This window comes from Homo sapiens, chromosome 1 (genome assembly GCF_000001405.40).
Source record: "Homo sapiens chromosome 1, GRCh38.p14 Primary Assembly".
NCBI classification, from domain to species: domain Eukaryota; kingdom Metazoa; phylum Chordata; class Mammalia; order Primates; family Hominidae; genus Homo; species Homo sapiens.
This window is the reverse complement of record NC_000001.11, coordinates 147,832,538-147,848,793: the sequence shown is the minus strand read 5'-3', so window position 1 is coordinate 147,848,793 and position 16,256 is coordinate 147,832,538. Positions and strand designations below refer to the sequence as shown.

General features: G+C 44.9%; 1 pseudogene, besides 4 other annotated features; it reads right to left on the bottom strand.

Annotated features, from left to right (window-relative positions):
• On the bottom strand, positions 6,297-7,842 carry LOC391092 (PRAME family member 17 pseudogene; annotated as a pseudogene).
• Positions 11,071-11,667: an enhancer, noted in NCBI's record as "OCT4-NANOG-H3K27ac-H3K4me1 hESC enhancer chr1:147309262-147309858 (GRCh37/hg19 assembly coordinates)". NCBI's record gives its function as "activates a minimal SCP1, AML or CMV promoter by ChIP-STARR-seq in primed H9 embryonic stem cells {active_cell/tissue: H9 hESC(primed)}" and the evidence as "EXISTENCE:reporter gene assay evidence [ECO:0000049][PMID:30033119]".
• Positions 14,337-14,950: an enhancer, noted in NCBI's record as "OCT4-NANOG-H3K27ac-H3K4me1 hESC enhancer chr1:147305982-147306592 (GRCh37/hg19 assembly coordinates)". NCBI's record gives its function as "activates a minimal SCP1, AML or CMV promoter by ChIP-STARR-seq in naive H9 embryonic stem cells {active_cell/tissue: H9 hESC(naive)}" and the evidence as "EXISTENCE:reporter gene assay evidence [ECO:0000049][PMID:30033119]".
• Positions 14,951-15,560: an enhancer, noted in NCBI's record as "OCT4-NANOG-H3K27ac-H3K4me1 hESC enhancer chr1:147305372-147305981 (GRCh37/hg19 assembly coordinates)". NCBI's record gives its function as "activates a minimal SCP1, AML or CMV promoter by ChIP-STARR-seq in naive H9 embryonic stem cells {active_cell/tissue: H9 hESC(naive)}" and the evidence as "EXISTENCE:reporter gene assay evidence [ECO:0000049][PMID:30033119]".
• Positions 15,209-15,503: an enhancer, noted in NCBI's record as "tiled region #879; HepG2 Activating non-DNase unmatched - State 24:Quies". NCBI's record gives its function as "activates a minimal TATA promoter and a strong SV40 promoter by Sharpr-MPRA in HepG2 cells {active_cell/tissue: HepG2}" and the evidence as "EXISTENCE:reporter gene assay evidence [ECO:0000049][PMID:27701403]".

The window sequence follows — 16,256 nt, the reverse complement described above, 5'->3', positions numbered from 1 at the left end:
CTAGGTGGAGTATACACCTGGAGATGCCCCTGATTCCCTTACTATGAGAGAGAGGAGGTGTGGATGCCATCTACGCTGAGCTAATATTTGAGAGGTGTGATTTGGGGAGCAGGATCTGGTATCAACGATCAGCCCCTGAAACAGGACACATCCCCTCCCCCTGCATCTGTCATAGCTCACTGTTCCCAGCTACCAGGTGCTGGCTATAAACTATAGCCTCTCTTGCCTGTTAACAAGTTTTTCATAGTGTAACTACTGACTGGATGCTCAGAATGATCTGATTTGGAAGGTAAATATTCAAATGGCTTTTCATAAGTGAAGCAAGTACAAATTGGGTATTAGGAGAGAGGCTAGTTATTAAATAAATTTTTTAAATGATTGATTTAAAACATTTTACAACAACAGATTCAGGCATCCCTTGAGGGTCTACACTCCCCATTCAGGCCATGCAAACTTCTCTGCAATCCTCTTCTCAGAACTTGATGTCTGCTTCCCAGGAGTCCTTACACAGATTATATAACACACACAAACACATACACACACGAACACACGCACCTCTTGCATCTCCCCCTGTCCCCTCTCTCATGAGTGCAGGGCAAGCAAAGCATTATCTTGGGTCTCCTCTAAAAATTCTCCCTGTTCACTTTGCATTCCCTAAACCCTTATTGCCACCCTTCACCTTCCTCTACCAGGGACAAAACAGGGGTTTCTTCTGTGCACACACACTCTGAAAGTTGTCAAGTAATTTGAGCCAAGGTGTTCGCTGATAACAAAGGTGCTGTGGCTGATAAGAAAAGTGTTAGCTGATATGCTTAACACCTACAGAAATACTTCCATTTTTACTAGGGGGCCTTTTGAGAAGACAGAAGCTCTTTGGGCCTCAAAGAAAGTGGTAGCATGGTGGGATGGCTTTGGGGGACTGAAATGTGGGGCAGAGCTCCCTGGCATCACCTCAGACTGTGCTAGTCTTTGCAGAAGGATTCTCCATCCATCTGCAGCATCCATTTCAGATAAATGCTTAACTGCTGCTAGATGAGTGGTCAGAGCTCCCACAGGCCCACCTGGCCTGGGCACCTAACCAGCCCCCTCAAACCCTTCCTTCTTGATCTTTCCAGGAGATGGTGAAAAGAACGGTGAGGGTGGGAGGGGAAAGGAGGGTGTGCTTGTTTCACCCAAAATTGGGAGACTTGGTGTTAAAATTTACTTTAAGTTTTCAATAGAAAACATGTTATTGTTAAAAAAACCTGGCTGGGTGTGGTGGCTCACGCCTGTAATCCCAGCACTTTGGGAGGCTGAGGCAGGTGGATCACGAGGTCAGGAGATTGAGACCATCCTGGCTAACATGGTGAAACCCCGTCTCTACTAGAAATAAAAAATTAGCCAGGCATGGTGGCGGGCGCCTGTAGTCCCAGCTACTTGGGAGGCTGAGGCAGGAGAATGGCATGAACCCGGGAGGCGGAGCTTGCAGTGAGCCGAGATAGTGCCACTGCACTCCAGCCTGGGTGACAGAGCGAGACTTCATCTCAAAAAAAAAAAAAGAAAGAAAAAGAAAACACTAAGCACTTTATAAATATTAGCAATTTTATTACATACACAACCATGTTTTCCCCCCTCAAAATAACTCTAGTATTATTCCTATCTTTCAGTTGTGGAAATTAAGTTCTGAGAGATTAAACAGCTTGTTCCTGGTCTCTCATTAGTAGGTAGAAGAGCTACGGCTGGAGCCTAGGTCTGTTGGACTCCAGAAACCATGCCTTAGCTATGCTGTGCTGCTGCTGCATGGTAGGGAGAACATATTTATTTGTCTATTTTAGTGGCAAATTTACCACCTCCTTTGGTGAGACAAAGATAAAGAATTCTTTCAGCCTATTCACTGAATCCTTTTCCATTCTGAGTGCTAGAGAACAGGCTCTGCCACTTACCAGCTGTGTGACTGTAGATAAATTATATGCCCTCTCTGAACTTCAGCTGCCCACTCTATAAAGTGGGAATACAAAGTCCTATCTTACTCTCTATGTTGTTATACATGAAAGCACCTTATAAAGTGCTATCTGCACCGGAGGTGTCATTGCTGTTGGTGAGTCCTTAGCTGGCTTTCTCTCTTTCACGTCTTTTTTTTTTTTTCAAACTTTTATTTTATGTTCAGGGGTATGTGTCTTTGTTATTGATTATGGAGTTCCTTGCAAGGCTCTTCTTTATATATTTTTAATGGCCTGGTTTCCATTTCCACCTTACCCGCAATGTCCTCTCTTGGGCTGTCTTTCCATTTGACTCCACTAATTAGTCAGGGAACCAAAGTTTTTCAAGCACCTGGTCTTTTGGTCTCTTTCACAATTGTCCCTCCTCCTTCCCAGCTTTCCATCAGGCCTGCTTAAGGAGTCTTCAGGCATCTAGTGTGTTACTACATTTTACAATTCTAACTTCTAGTGTTTTCCTACTTAATACTTCCTGTTCTGTTACAATCCTGTTTTTCCCAGGCAGGACAGCTGGGAAATGGAGGGGAGCAGTTGCTTTTGACCTTGGAAGGTGGTGTGCTGGAATAGGTGGTATCAACAGTGTCAGAATAGCCCTTATGCTGTGGGCTTTGATCCTGCTTCTAAATGGGTGTCAGTGTTCTAAATCTGCTTTTGGAATGGGAAACATGGAAACATTCATCATTGTTCTAATATTGAAGAAGCTATTGAGCCACTACTCTATATTCACTGGGGACTGACTGTGTCAGGCGCTAGGTTAGGCACTGTGGGGCCATCAAAAAGAATGAGACACAGTCCCTGACCAGTAGGGCTACTGGGGACCAAAGACTCATAGACCACCGAGATAGGAGTAAAAGCTAAGTGGGGGCCAGGGGTGTGTTATCCCCAGTGGGGCTCCTTCCCACCCTCCCACAGGCTTCAATGTCAGCTGCACATTCCCACCTGCACCAACCCAGGCTTCTGGAGACCTTGTGAAAATAAAAATGAATTCCTCCTTTTTCTCCTCAAAGAAAAAAAAAAAGCCAGCCTCACAACAATACCTCAAGGGATCTAATGTAACCTCAAATGCCAAGTGAGCTATGCTAATGGCGACATCCAGGGTGAGCTGGATGTCTCAGTGCCCTGGCCATAGGTATAAATTCCACCCTAGAAGGGCCCTTTGCACACTCAGGTCTTACATCTGCCTGCCTCAGTTATGCTTATGTCAGGTTCACGATTATGCCAAATGTCATGTTGCAGTCCGAAGGGAGTGGGTGGATGAGAAGAAAGAACACTTGGGGGGCTGTAGGCAGGTGAAAGATGATTTTATTCAGCATCAGCTCTCATCAACAGCTTTCTCACACTGTCCACCCTGTCTCAGCTGGTTAGTTCAGTGGCTCCCACACACAGCTGCATGGTTGGCTCTCCTTTGCCTTCAGGGTCAGCAGCTTAACTCTTTCTCTCTCTGGACATGAGTGAGCCAAGCTGCATCCTGGCTCCCCTCTGTCCATCTGCAAAGATGGACAGCTTTGGCTCTTTCTCTGGACACCAGTGTGCCTGTACAGTGTCGGCAAAGCAATTATACCTTTTATAGACAATAGCGGCTTAGAGCCAAGTGATGAGCCTTCCCTATATTATGACTATGGTGGTGAGCTTCTCTATGTTATGTCTACATGGCATGACAACAAGTGGAGTTATACGCCTGCGCTCTAAACTCACTGAGTCACTCTGAACGTTTACCTCGGCCTATCCTTGACCAAAGCAAGCCAGGTTCCTTACAGCTCAGTTCAGGGAGCATGCCTACCTTGCACTCCTGCACCCTGTTCCCAGGACACCTTGGAGGGTCAAGTTGGATGAGGAAATCAGTTGCTGTTCGAGTCCCTGGAGGGAGAAGGGAAAAAGACTTTTCCCATTTGATTTCTCCTAAGCTGTGGCCCAAGTGCTACACTTATAATATTATCTCCACCAACCACACCTGGGTTGGCCCTGGACCGAGCCAGAAGTCTTTCTTTACAGAAGCTATGTGATATGGGGAACAAGTTGCCTATTTCTTGAGAAAGTCAAGGTCACTGTATTAGTTTGCTAGGGCTGCCATAATAAAAAGTGCCACAAAGTGAGTAACTTAAGCAACAGAAATTTTTTATCACAGTTCTGGAGGCCAGAAGCCCAAGATACAAGTGTTCCTTCTGTGGGCTGTGAGGGAGAATCTGTTCCATGCCTCACTTCTAGCTTCTGGATGTCTTCTCAATATTGCATTTCAAATGCAATATCTGGGCCAGGCACAGTGGCTCATGCCTGTAATCCCAGCACTTTGGGAGGCCGAGGCAGGTGGATCACTTGAGTTCAGGAGTTCGAGACCAGCCTGACTAACATGGTGAATCCCTGTCTCTACTAAAAAAATACAAAAATTAGCTGGGTGATTTGGCAGGTGCCTGTAATTCCAGCTACCCGAGAGGCTGAGGCAGGAAAATTGCTTGAACCTGGGAGATGGAGGTTGCAGTGAACCAAGATCATGCTACAGCCTGGGCAACAGAGCAAGACTATCTCAAAAAAAAAAAAAAAAAGAACAATTTCAATATTTGGTATTCCTTGACTTGTAGGCATATCATCTTGATCTCTGCCTTCAGGTTCACATGGCATTCTCCCCATGTCTCTGTCTTAGTGTCCATTTTTCCCCTTTTTATAAGGATACAGTCATATTGGATTAGGGCCCAACCCACTGGCCTCATGTTGACTTGATCAACAGCAGACACCAAATAAGGTCACATTCGCAGATATTGGAGGTTAGGACTTCAACATTTTTTGGGGGATAAAATTTGACCATGACAGCTAAGATCTCTCAGCTTCTCCTCAGAATTCCTTGGTACTTTCACCTTCCTCCTTCTTTGTTCCAGAAAAGTCTCTCTTTTCTTTGACCAGGCTAACTCCTTCCTAGGCCTTCTAATTCCATCCCTTCCAACTTCCTCCTGGGTCCTTCTGTGCCAATTAGCCTTTCTTAGGCTTCTCTTCAGGATCTCCCCAGACTTATACATTTGCTTAGGCTTCTATCTGTTCCCCTGGGTCCTGCCATTGCTGCCTTCTGTTCTTTTGTTCTTTTTCATTCCACTGCCTACTGCATCCACTTCCCCACCACTCACGTGTTCTCTGCACACTAGCTGTCAAAATAGCCCTTACAGATGCAGTAAAGCATGGTGGCCAAGAGTGCAGTCTTTGGAAGTCAGAATACCTGGCTTCAAATCCTCGTTTACCTAATCTCTCTAACCTAGTTCTGTTCATCTCTAAGCATGGATAGTAACAGTACTATAGTTTGGATGTGGTTTGTCCCTGCCCAAACTCGTGTTGGAATTTGATTCCCAATGTCGCAGTGTTGGGAGGTGGGATCTGCTGGGAGGTTTGGGTTCACAGGGGCAGCTCTCTCATAAATAGATTAATGCCCTCTGTGGGGGTGAGTCAGTTCTTCCTCTTGTGGGGATGGATTAGTTCTGGTGAGAGTGGGCTTTTAGAATCTGGCTTCCTCAGTTTCTCTCTCTTGCTTCCCCTCTTGCCATGTGACCTCTTTGCACATGTCTGCTCCCCTTCCACTGATAGCCATGAGTGGAAGCAGCCTTAGGCCCTCAACAGATGCAGCTGCCCAATCTCGGACCTCCCAGTCCCCAGAATTGTGAGCCAAATAAGGCTCTTTTCTTTATATCCAGCCTCAGGTATTCTGTTCTAGCAATGCAAAACAGATAAAGACAAACAACATATAATTTATAGGGCTTTTTAAAAAAATTTTATATATGTATATATTTTAGCTTAATTATCTTAGCCTAATTCCTGGTCTCAGCTATGTGTTAGAATTACGATTTTTTTTTTTCCATTCAGGTTCCATTTATTTTTGACATTTTTAAATAACCATCCTTGTGGGAGTAACTCCTGCATCACTCTAGAACTTCAGGTTCTGACTCTAGGACACAGGTCCCTGAAGGCCTCATGGACGCCAAGTTAGCATTTTCACCCAGTACTGTCCCCTGCTTAGTCACCTTTGTTTTTCTAATCACAGTGAGCACGTGCCTGAAACACACTGGCTCTGTGCTTCCTTTAAGATGCACCTGACCGGGCCCGGCTGCTCATGCCTGTAAACCTGGCACTGTGGAAGGCAGAGGTGGGCAGATCACTTGAGGTCAGGAGTTCGAGGCCAGCCTCACCAACTTGTGAAACCCTGTCTCTACTAAAAATACAAAAATTAGTTGGGCATGTTGGCGCACGCCCGTAACACCAGCTACTCAGGAGGCTGAGGCAGGAGAATCACTTGAATCTGGGAGGCGGAGGTTGCAGTGAGCTGAGATTGTGCCACTGCACTTCAGCCTGAGTGACAGAGTGAGACTCTGTCTCAAAACAACAACAACAACAACAAAATGTACCTACGTCCTAGATTTTAGTGCCCAAGTGTCCGGGAGAAAGCCTATCCACCCCACTAACCAGGCCTTCCCTAGAAGCGAAGATGCAGCTCCAGTTTCTCAGATGGCCATGAGCCACAGGAAGGGCAGGGGGCAGGACCAAGAAGATCCTCTTGGGCTGCCTTACTTCCCTGAGTGTACGCATCAGCTCAGCCTGAATTGGGGCGAGGATCTCCCAACTGACATGACCCCTGTTGTTAAGACTCTCCAGAGGGGCAGGATATGTCTCCAGGCCTAACTTGCTCAGTTCACCTGTGTGATGCAACAGAACTTTCAGAGCATTCATGGAGGTCTCATTTCCATGAAAGTAGAAGGTGGTGAGCTGGGAGCAGCGGCTCAGGGCAGGTAGGATGACCATGAGTTGGGAGTCCTGGATCCGACAGTCCTCTAAGACGAGGGTCTCGATAGTAGCAGCAGCTTTCTCTAGCAGAGCTCCAAGGGGCTCAAGATTGGTGGTCCACATTAGGATATGAATCAGATGCAGCTGCTTTAGCTGACTGAGGCTTGGGTACTGACACCCCATGTCCCGATCAGCTAGGTAAGCATGACAGAATGTAAAGGCCTCCAAGGGGTTCTTGAGGCACCTGAGCAGGTGCTCTTTGATATTATTGACCTTTCTTATTCAAAGCATCTGGGGGTTCCAGGCAGAGGAATGGAGAGTCCAAGTCAGGAATGAACTGCTGTTGGCCGCACATGTATAACTCACACCCATAACTGAAGGCTAAAAAGAGTTTGTGAAGATTGCTCATCTGGCCCAGGTAAGGGGCAAACTTTCCTGTTCTATTCAGCGAGCACTTTTTCCAGACTTCCAAATCATGGATACTGCTGTCTGGGTATACCTTTTCCAATAAATTTCCGAAATTTGAAGTGGGCATTGAGTAATTCTGTACCTTACTACAACACAGGTGTACTAAACCTCTTCTGTAGTGGATCCACCCACAGAGGTAGCGCAGACATTCATCCAGGGTGTTTTCCTTTAGGTAGAGGTCTATGAACACCTTCAAGGGCTGGTGCTCTCCTGTCCTTGGACAGTCCACCACTGTCTGCCTCATACTCATGGCCTCTGGGGAGCAGGACAGGGCCCTGGCTCCAGACCATATGGTCCAGAAATTCTCATCAACATCCCGCAAATCCAGCACTTGAAGTTTCTACCTCCTGTGGCGAACCTTCTGGCCAGTAGTGTATCAAGTCTCTTCAGCATAGCTCGCAAGGTCTCCAGATGAGGTGTCTTCATCAGGGAACCCAGAGGGAGGCGGGGGAAGGGCCAGGCCTGCACCATGGCCTTTAGAATCTCACAGCATCTCCTGGTGGAGGCCTCAGTGAACAGCAGACAGAAGACCTCCTTGGGCAGCTCCTCCAGGGTGAAGATGGCCAAGAACTGGTTCCTCAGCAGGCTCTGCCCCACCAGCTCCAGGAGTCTGGGTGTGGCCTGGAGGCTCATTTTGATAAATAATCAGAGGAGCAGCCTTCCAAACAAGAGGTGGTCCTTTCACTTTGAAACTGCCATCCACAAATCCAATAGCTTTTTGTCAGTGAGGGAACTGCTTATCAGGAACCATGGAAACTGGCAGCTCCTCACGTAGTTCCAGAGTCAGTTTTAGGGAAAAAGAAGATCTGTGCCTGTGAGTATCTCCTTCTGGCATTCCCCAGGTGGCATGATCCTATACAAACCATTGCTATTTAAGTATGGAACTCTGGGAACTGCCATCCTCATTAACATATTTATCTGACATCATCCCAGACAGTATGGGTATTTCAGGTATCAGGATCATTTTATGTCCTTCAGTGATAGGTGTAGTTTTCAGTTAACATTCCATATACAGGCAGTAAACACCCCTCAACTAGAAACTCTCTCGTCATGACCGGGCGCGGTGGCTCGTGCCTTTAATCCCAGCACTTCGGGAGGTCGAGGCAGGCAGATCACTTGAGGTCAAGAGTTTGAGACCAGCCTGCCAGCATGATGAAACCCTGTCTCTATGAAAAATACAAAAATTAGTCGGACATGGTGGTGCTCTCCTGTAATCCCAGCTGCTTGGGAGGCTGAGGCAGGAGAATCGCCGAACCTGGGAGGCAGATGTTGCAGTGAGCCGAGACCGCACCACTGTACTCCAGCCTGAGCAACAGAGTGAGACTCCATTTCAAAAAAACAAAACAAAACAAACAAACAAACAAAAAAGAAAAGAAAAGAAACTCTCTCATCCAAAATCCGTATGAGACCACCTTTTCATAACTATGACATTAACAGAAACCTGACATAGTTGACTCTTCTTGCTTCTGATCTCCAAGCTATCTTTGATCATTCCTGGGCATAAGCCAAGCTAGCATTGGGGGGAATTTAATTAACAGTTTAACTTGAAAGCAAGGATGATGACAGCCCCTCCCTTAAACTACCACACTCCTTGCTCAGGAACTGAACACTCAGCATTACAATTTTTTGTGTGTGTGATTTTTACTACTCCTATTACTATGAAGCTAGTCATTATGTCTATATATTCAGCCACAAATCATTTACTTTCTGTATTTTAAATACTGGCTAGACATTTTATCTAAATATTCTACTGACATTTCAATACATCCCAAAACAAAGACCTCCCCTCCCCCTACACTTCTGAGCTTCTTTCTGATTTTTAAATTTATGTTAATGGCACCATTACACTTCTATCAGCTCTGGACACACACCTTGGAGTCAAGACTTCCTTTCCTGTATCAACTACATCCAATCAATAACTAAGTTCTGTAGGTTTTATCAATGAAACATTTAAAAATATATGTATCTGGGTTGGCCACAATGGCTCATGCTTGTACTCCTAGCACTTTGGGAGGCTGAGGTGGGAGAATTGTTTGAGCTTATGAATCTAAGATTATGGAGCTATGATCATGCCACTGTGCTCCAGCCTGAGCAATAGAGCAAGACCCTGTCTCATATATATACATATATATGTCTCATATGTATATATATATATGTCTCATATCTATGTCTCATATCTATGTCTCACATATCTATGTCTCACATATATATGTCTCACATATCTATGTCTCACATATATATGTCTCACATATCTATGTCTCACATATCTATGTCTCACATATCTATGTCTCACATATCTATGTCTCACATATATATGTCTCATATATATGTCTCACATATATATGTCTCATATATATGTCTCACATATATATGTCTCTATATATGTCTCACATATATATGTCTACATATATATGTCTCACATATATATGTCTACATATATATGTCTCACATATATATGTCTCTCTATATATGTCTCATATATATGTCTCTATGTATATCTCATATATATGTCTCTATATATGTCTCATATATGTCTCTATATATATGTCTCATATATATGTCTCTATATATATGTCACATATATATGTCTCTATATATATCTCATATATATGTCTCATATATATGTCTCTATATATATGTCTCATATATATGTCTCTCTATATATGTCATATATATATATATACACATATACACACGCACACACACACAAGCCTAGTTTAGGCTATTACTCCCCCTAGACTATTCTAGTAGCCTTCTAACGGGATTCCTTGACTTCAGTCCTTGTCATGATGATTACTTACATATATTGCTGCCAGATTATTCTTCTTAAAATGCTACTTGGTCATAGAACTTCCCTGCAGAAAAATTTTCAATGGCTCCTGTTTACCTGCAAAGTAAAATCCAAACTCTGACATTCAGATGCCTTTATAACATGGCTTCTCTTCCTTCTAGCCTCATCTCCTTATACCTTTGACTACACAGAAGCATCAGTCATATTTAAAACATGCCCAGTACTTTTTCATTTGTGGGTCTTGGTTTAAGGTGTTTCCTTCTTTATTTTCATTTTTTAGAGACAGGGTTTTGCTCTGTCACACAGGCTGGAGCACAGTGGTGTGATCATTGCAGCCTCAAACTCCCAGGCTCAATCAGTCCTCCGGCCTCAGCCTCCCAAAGCACTGGGATTACAGGCATGAGCCCCCTTGCCCAGCTGAGGTGTTTCCTTCTACTTGGAATTCCTTATTGCATTCCTTATCTTTCAGTGCTCTTCTTAAGTATGCCTTCCTCTTGGTAGGCTTCTCTGACTCCAACTGGGTGAGTTCTCTCCCCTTGCTGACTCTCAGCATCTTAGTAATATCTACCCTCCTGTGGCCCTTAACATCATCTGTCTTACACTCCTTGGTAAGACATTCTTTGGTCTCGTTTTCATATCTCCACAACTTCTAACAGTGCCTCATATATGCAGATGCACATAATTGTTGAGACTCTTGACCTGACTTGAAGAGTGCTTAACTTTGAATATCAAGTTTCGTTTTCAAAAATTCTCAATAGGCTAAGAGTGAGTGACAAGGCAAATGTGAGTGAACACTGCAGTGAAGTGTGAAGCAGGGCTTTAGCTCCCAGCCCACTACAGCCTCTCCCTGCTTACCCCTCCATGTCTTTTCATGGTTTCACCTCATCTGCCACTCACACCGTGGGGGAATTAATGGATTTTGGGGGAAGTGTCAACACAGGACTAAGATGCCCCTCCCTGCTCTCTTCCCACAATCCTTTCTCTCCCTCATCTTGGCCGTCTTTCAACTTCTTGACTCAGACACTTTCTTCTCTCTGCTTCTTCTCCTTCTGCTTTTCCTGTTTGCCTCACCTTCTCTATCACCATCTAGAGCCATAAAGGACATTGAGTCTGGGGCTGGGTTGAAGATGAGAAGCAGAGACAAACAGATACATTCGCATGGAGAAAGGCTAGCCCACCGAGCCAAGGTGTGACCCCTCATGGCTTCTTTGGTCCCCAGTAGCACCAGACTTCTGACTCCCCTCTGACTACTGCCATCTCACTGCCTTCCTCGCTAACTTCAAACTACTCAGCTTGCAGACATGCAGCAACCACTCTTTGTCCTGTTGGTTTGAGTTAAGAACAGAGGTTTGCAAAGTGATGGCTTTATCCACAGACACCTGTGGAATGCAAAGTACTTTCTTCTTCCATTTACAAAACAAACAGCTGAGAACCAGGAATGCTGCCTCCTCATAGAGCCCTGCTAGCCCTCCCTCTGGCTTCTCACCTCCAGATCACTCTACCCCACAAGCGCACTATCGTATGACTGCGGGTGCCCCCAGGGAGGGGCAATTTAATCTTCAACCTGTTTCTCCACGGAGATTGCTTTTCCGGAGCACATTTTTGGAAGAGCTTAAATGTATTAGTCTGATCATCTAGCATTCCTCGTCCTGCCTGCCCATCCCTTAATGCATTCCCTTGTCTCCATCTGCAGCCTCTTTGTAAACCAGTTTCATTATCTCTAGCTGTACCAGTAACTTTCCCCTCATTACCATGATTTCTCCACTACCAGTTTATCCCAAATGACCTATGTGTTTAGAGACCACTGCGCTGGACACAGAGATGACTCACTTGGGCATGTCCAGGTGAATGGTGAGTTCTTGTCTGTCACAAGGCCAGAACTCCCTGAACTCCAAATATGAAGTCCTTTAATTATTGGGAAGTTGAATTCTGTTTCTGGTGCAAGCATTTTTAGGAACCAAGAGGACACTCGTTAGAGCATTTTAAGCTCATGTAAAACACTTTTGTAAATCTAAGGGATTCCTTATATCTGTATCACTACTATTATTACTCAGATCTCCCTGGTTTTAGCACAGGATAACAAAAGGGTGATATTCAAGTTCACTAGAACTAATCATGGTTGCCCAGATTTCTTGTGAATGTAACAAATGTCTAGAGTTTTGTTTCTGAGCTGACCTCAGTATATGATTGTCAGTAAATCCCAGGCCCCCTTGGGACAGCCGGCTAGTGCAACAGCAATCTTTCTAAAGTGGTTGGTCAAATACAACCACATACAATATGGATGACTGTCACAAACAAAATGTCGAGTGAAAGAATCCAGCCCTAAAAGAGAAAATACCATACAATTCAATTTTTCAAAATTTGAAGGCAAAGAAAAAAATCAGTTGTGCCAGGTGCCAGGGTAGTGGTCACCTTGGGAAGGTAGTAACTGACACAGATCGGGGGCACCTGGGGTGCTGGTAATATTTCTTCAGAAGATATGTTTGCTTTGTGAAATTTCACTTTGCTTTATGAAAGTGCACTTATGATCTGTGCACTTTTCTGTATGTGTGGAATATTCCAACAGTTTTTTTAAAAAAAGTTTGTCAAGATTCTGACTGCTGAGCTTGGGATACATGTGGGGTGATACTATAGAGGCCAAAGCAATTCTATCTTAGATGCTAACTCGCCATTTGGCTTCTGATTGACCCCTCTTCTGGGAAGGCCTCTAAGATTTTTGGTTTGTTCCTTATGGGTGAGTTCCTACTTACTGTAAATTCTGCCCTTATGGCACATTCCTACCTGTTCTCTCTGAAGCACTTGTGCTCCTCTTCTACAGTATATAAACACCCAGTCTGGGGGGTAATGGTGCAGGATCATCCATCTTGTCGTGCCACTGCCTGAGACACAGACATGGCTTCTGTTTGTTAAGTTCCTATTAAATAAATGTTCTTTCTAAGAAACTGGATTTGTTAGCCTCTTTCTTTAGCAGCTGAGAGGCTTCCTCAGACTCTGGGGACAGGTTTGTGTAGGCCTGCCCACCAAGAAACAGATACAGTACTCAGTTGTCTACCACAATGACTCTTGAAGGTGGCAAGCTCACCCCAACCCCAACAAATGGCTGTAGAAGGGGCAGATACAGGATCAGACTGTAATTAAAAGTATATGTAAAACTTAAGGAGTTCTAGGAGTTATACTAGACATTTCTCATGCTCTTGGATAATCTACTTCTGAATCCTAAAAGAAGGAGGAAGAGTGAGGAGGACTACTCTCCCATTAAGAAAGCTAAAGAACGGAAAATACTCTTCTCTTGTTCCCTGGCACTGAGGAGTGGCTATGCAGCCCAGCCTTGACCAATGGACACTTTGGGCCTGGTCTTTGAATTTTAGGAAGGGTTGAAAATGTTTAAAGCAGGAGGGATTCAGGTGCCTAGGGATTCAGTATTTAGAGTCCAGTACGAGTCAAGGTCCATTAGCAGTGGAGCCTGCCATGGCTTTCTAGACAGCATGTTTTTGTTGTGTGATCCAAATGAGGTTTCGGCTGCCCAGTCTTTCTTGGGTTCTGTCTGACTTCCAAGCCTCCTCATCAGTTCTGAGTATACATACCTGATACCTTTTCCAATCTCATTTCTGATTAAGATAATTAGGGAAGGTTTCTGTTACTTATATCCAAGAACCTTGACTACTACAAAAGCCCCCCCAGCAAAAGATATGTCAAATTCTGTTTGCAATTTTCCACCCAGATTTTATCACAGGGCTTGTAATTCCACTAAGTAGAGCTTATTTGGGGTTGACTATGTTCCTATTTTACAAATACCTGCATTCTTGCAGGGTAATTCATCATTCATACTTTAGTGTGAATTCTTACAGTCCAGTTGTTTTTTGTCTTATCTCTCTGAGAAAATAGAATGGAGGGAGGAGTTCAGGAAGGGTTCATTTTGGAGCTTGGAGCATTTAAGGGAGGGCAGGAATGAAATAAAATACCAAGGTGGGGAGCCTTGGGAAGTCAGAGGGTCTCATGAGGTCACAGGATTCATATGGGGTAGGAAAGAGAGGATACCGTGCAATAGAGGAAGGCTGAGAGCAACGTGTCAGAGAGCCAAAGAAAAATTTTGCCATCTTACTTTAGGCTGGTCTTTTGCATATATTCATTTTTTGTTTTGTATTGGGTAGGTAATTGGTAATCCTGGCTTCTTAGGGTTATGCAAGTGATTATAGATTATTTATTATGTTATCACAACTCCCACCTTAGGTACAGACACCGTCAGCAGAAGCAGTGTGGGTTTAGGATCCATCCTGCCAGATGAACCTTCATAAAATAACAGGAACTCACTTGAAACAAATTATGCCAGACTAAACCCATTTCCTTTGTTGATGGGGTTACTGAGCTAGTGAGTTTCAGCAGGATATAGACCTGTGAGCTCAGAACAGTTAAGCAGATATGTAACTGGTTGAACAATCACATGTGAAGACTGGTGATTAATGAATCTGCGTCAACTTTACAGGAGGTCTGTAGTCATTTGCTGCAGGGTTTCATGTGTGTCCGTGTGAAGAGACCACTAAACAGGCTTTGTGTGAGCAATAAAGCTTTTAATCACCTGGGTGCAAGCGGGCTGAGTCTGAAAAGAGAGTCAGCAAAGGGAGATAAGGGTGGGGCCGTTTTATAGGATTTGGGTAGATAAAGGAAAATTACAGTCAAAGGGGGTTGTTCTCTGGCGGGCAGAGTGGGGGTCACAAGGTGCTCAGTAGGGGAGCTTTTGAGCTAGGATGAGCCGGGAGAAGGAATTTCACAAGACAATGTCATCAGTTAAGGCAGGAACAGGCCATTTTCACTTCTTTTGTGGTGGAATGTCATCAGTTAAGGCAGGAACTGGCCATCTGGATGTGTATGTGCAGGTCACAGGGGATATGATGGCTTAGCTTGGGCTCAGAGGCCTGACACAGGGTCCCAGTCAACGTTTTTATTAATGACATGGATGGATTCACAGAATATACTGATCAAATTTGCTGAGAGGGTTAGTGACTATGTTGGATGACAAGATCAGGATTTAGAAAGATTTCAGCAGACTGAAGTGATATCCCAGATACAACATTTCCTTCTCCACAGGGAGAAGGAGGTCTCCAGCTGAACTTTGTAACAGTGTGAATAGGTCAAGAAGCCTCCTGGCCAGAACTCAGGGGAGGGTGGGAATCTGGTGTGCAGACTCCACAGGTGGGGGAAGAACCAAGCCCTTTTCTTTTGCAGCTGGGAGGTGGGTAGCCTGGGGCAAGTTGTCAAGCCTGGCTCACCCACTAGCTGGAAACAGACTCAGTGCTGTTAGTGGGGGCATGGTGGGAGTGAGACTGGCCCCTCAGTTTGTGGGGAATCTGGGTGAGGCCTGTGACTGCCAGCTTTCCCCACTTCCCTGACAACCTGCGTGAGTCAGCAGAGGCATAATCCTCCTAGGTACACAACTCCATTGACCTGGGAGCCTCACCCCCATCCCCCACAGCGGCCGCAGCAAGACTGGCCCAAGGAGAGTCTGAGCTCAGACACACCTAGCCCTGCCCCTACCTGATGGTCCTTCCCTACCCACCCTGGTAGCAGGAGACAAAGGCATATAATCTTGGATGTTAAAGGGACCTGTCCATTGCTTGTTCCTCTCCATACTATCACAGTTGATGCTCTCTGGAAAGTGCCACCTCCCTGCAGAAGGCCAGCCAGCACAATAATAGAGCATTAAACCATAAAGCTAATAACCCTCACAGAGTCCATTGCACCTCCTATTGCCACCTCCACTGGAACAGGCACTGGTATCCACGGTTGAGAGACCCATTGACGGTTCACATCACAGAACTCTGTGCAGACAACCCCCAGTACCAGCCCAGAGCTGGATAGACTTACTGGGTGGCTAGACCCAGAAGAGAGACAACCATCACTGCAGTTCAGCTCACAGGAAGCCACATCCATAGGAAAACGGGGAGAGTACTACATCAAGGGAATACGCCGTGGGACAAAAAGAATCTGAACAACAGCCTTCAGCCCTAGACCTTCACTCTGACAGAAGCTACCCACATGAGAAGGAACCAGAAAACCAACTCTGGTAATATGAAAAAACAAGGCTCTTTAACACCCCCCAAAAAATCACACTAGTTCACTGGCAATGGATCTAAACCAAGAAGAAATCCCTGATTTCCCTGAAAAAGAAATCAGGAGGTTAGTTATTAAGCTAATCAGGGAGTCACCAGAGAAAGGCAAAGTTCAATGCAAGGAAATCCAAAAAACGATGCAAGAAGTGAAGGGAGAAA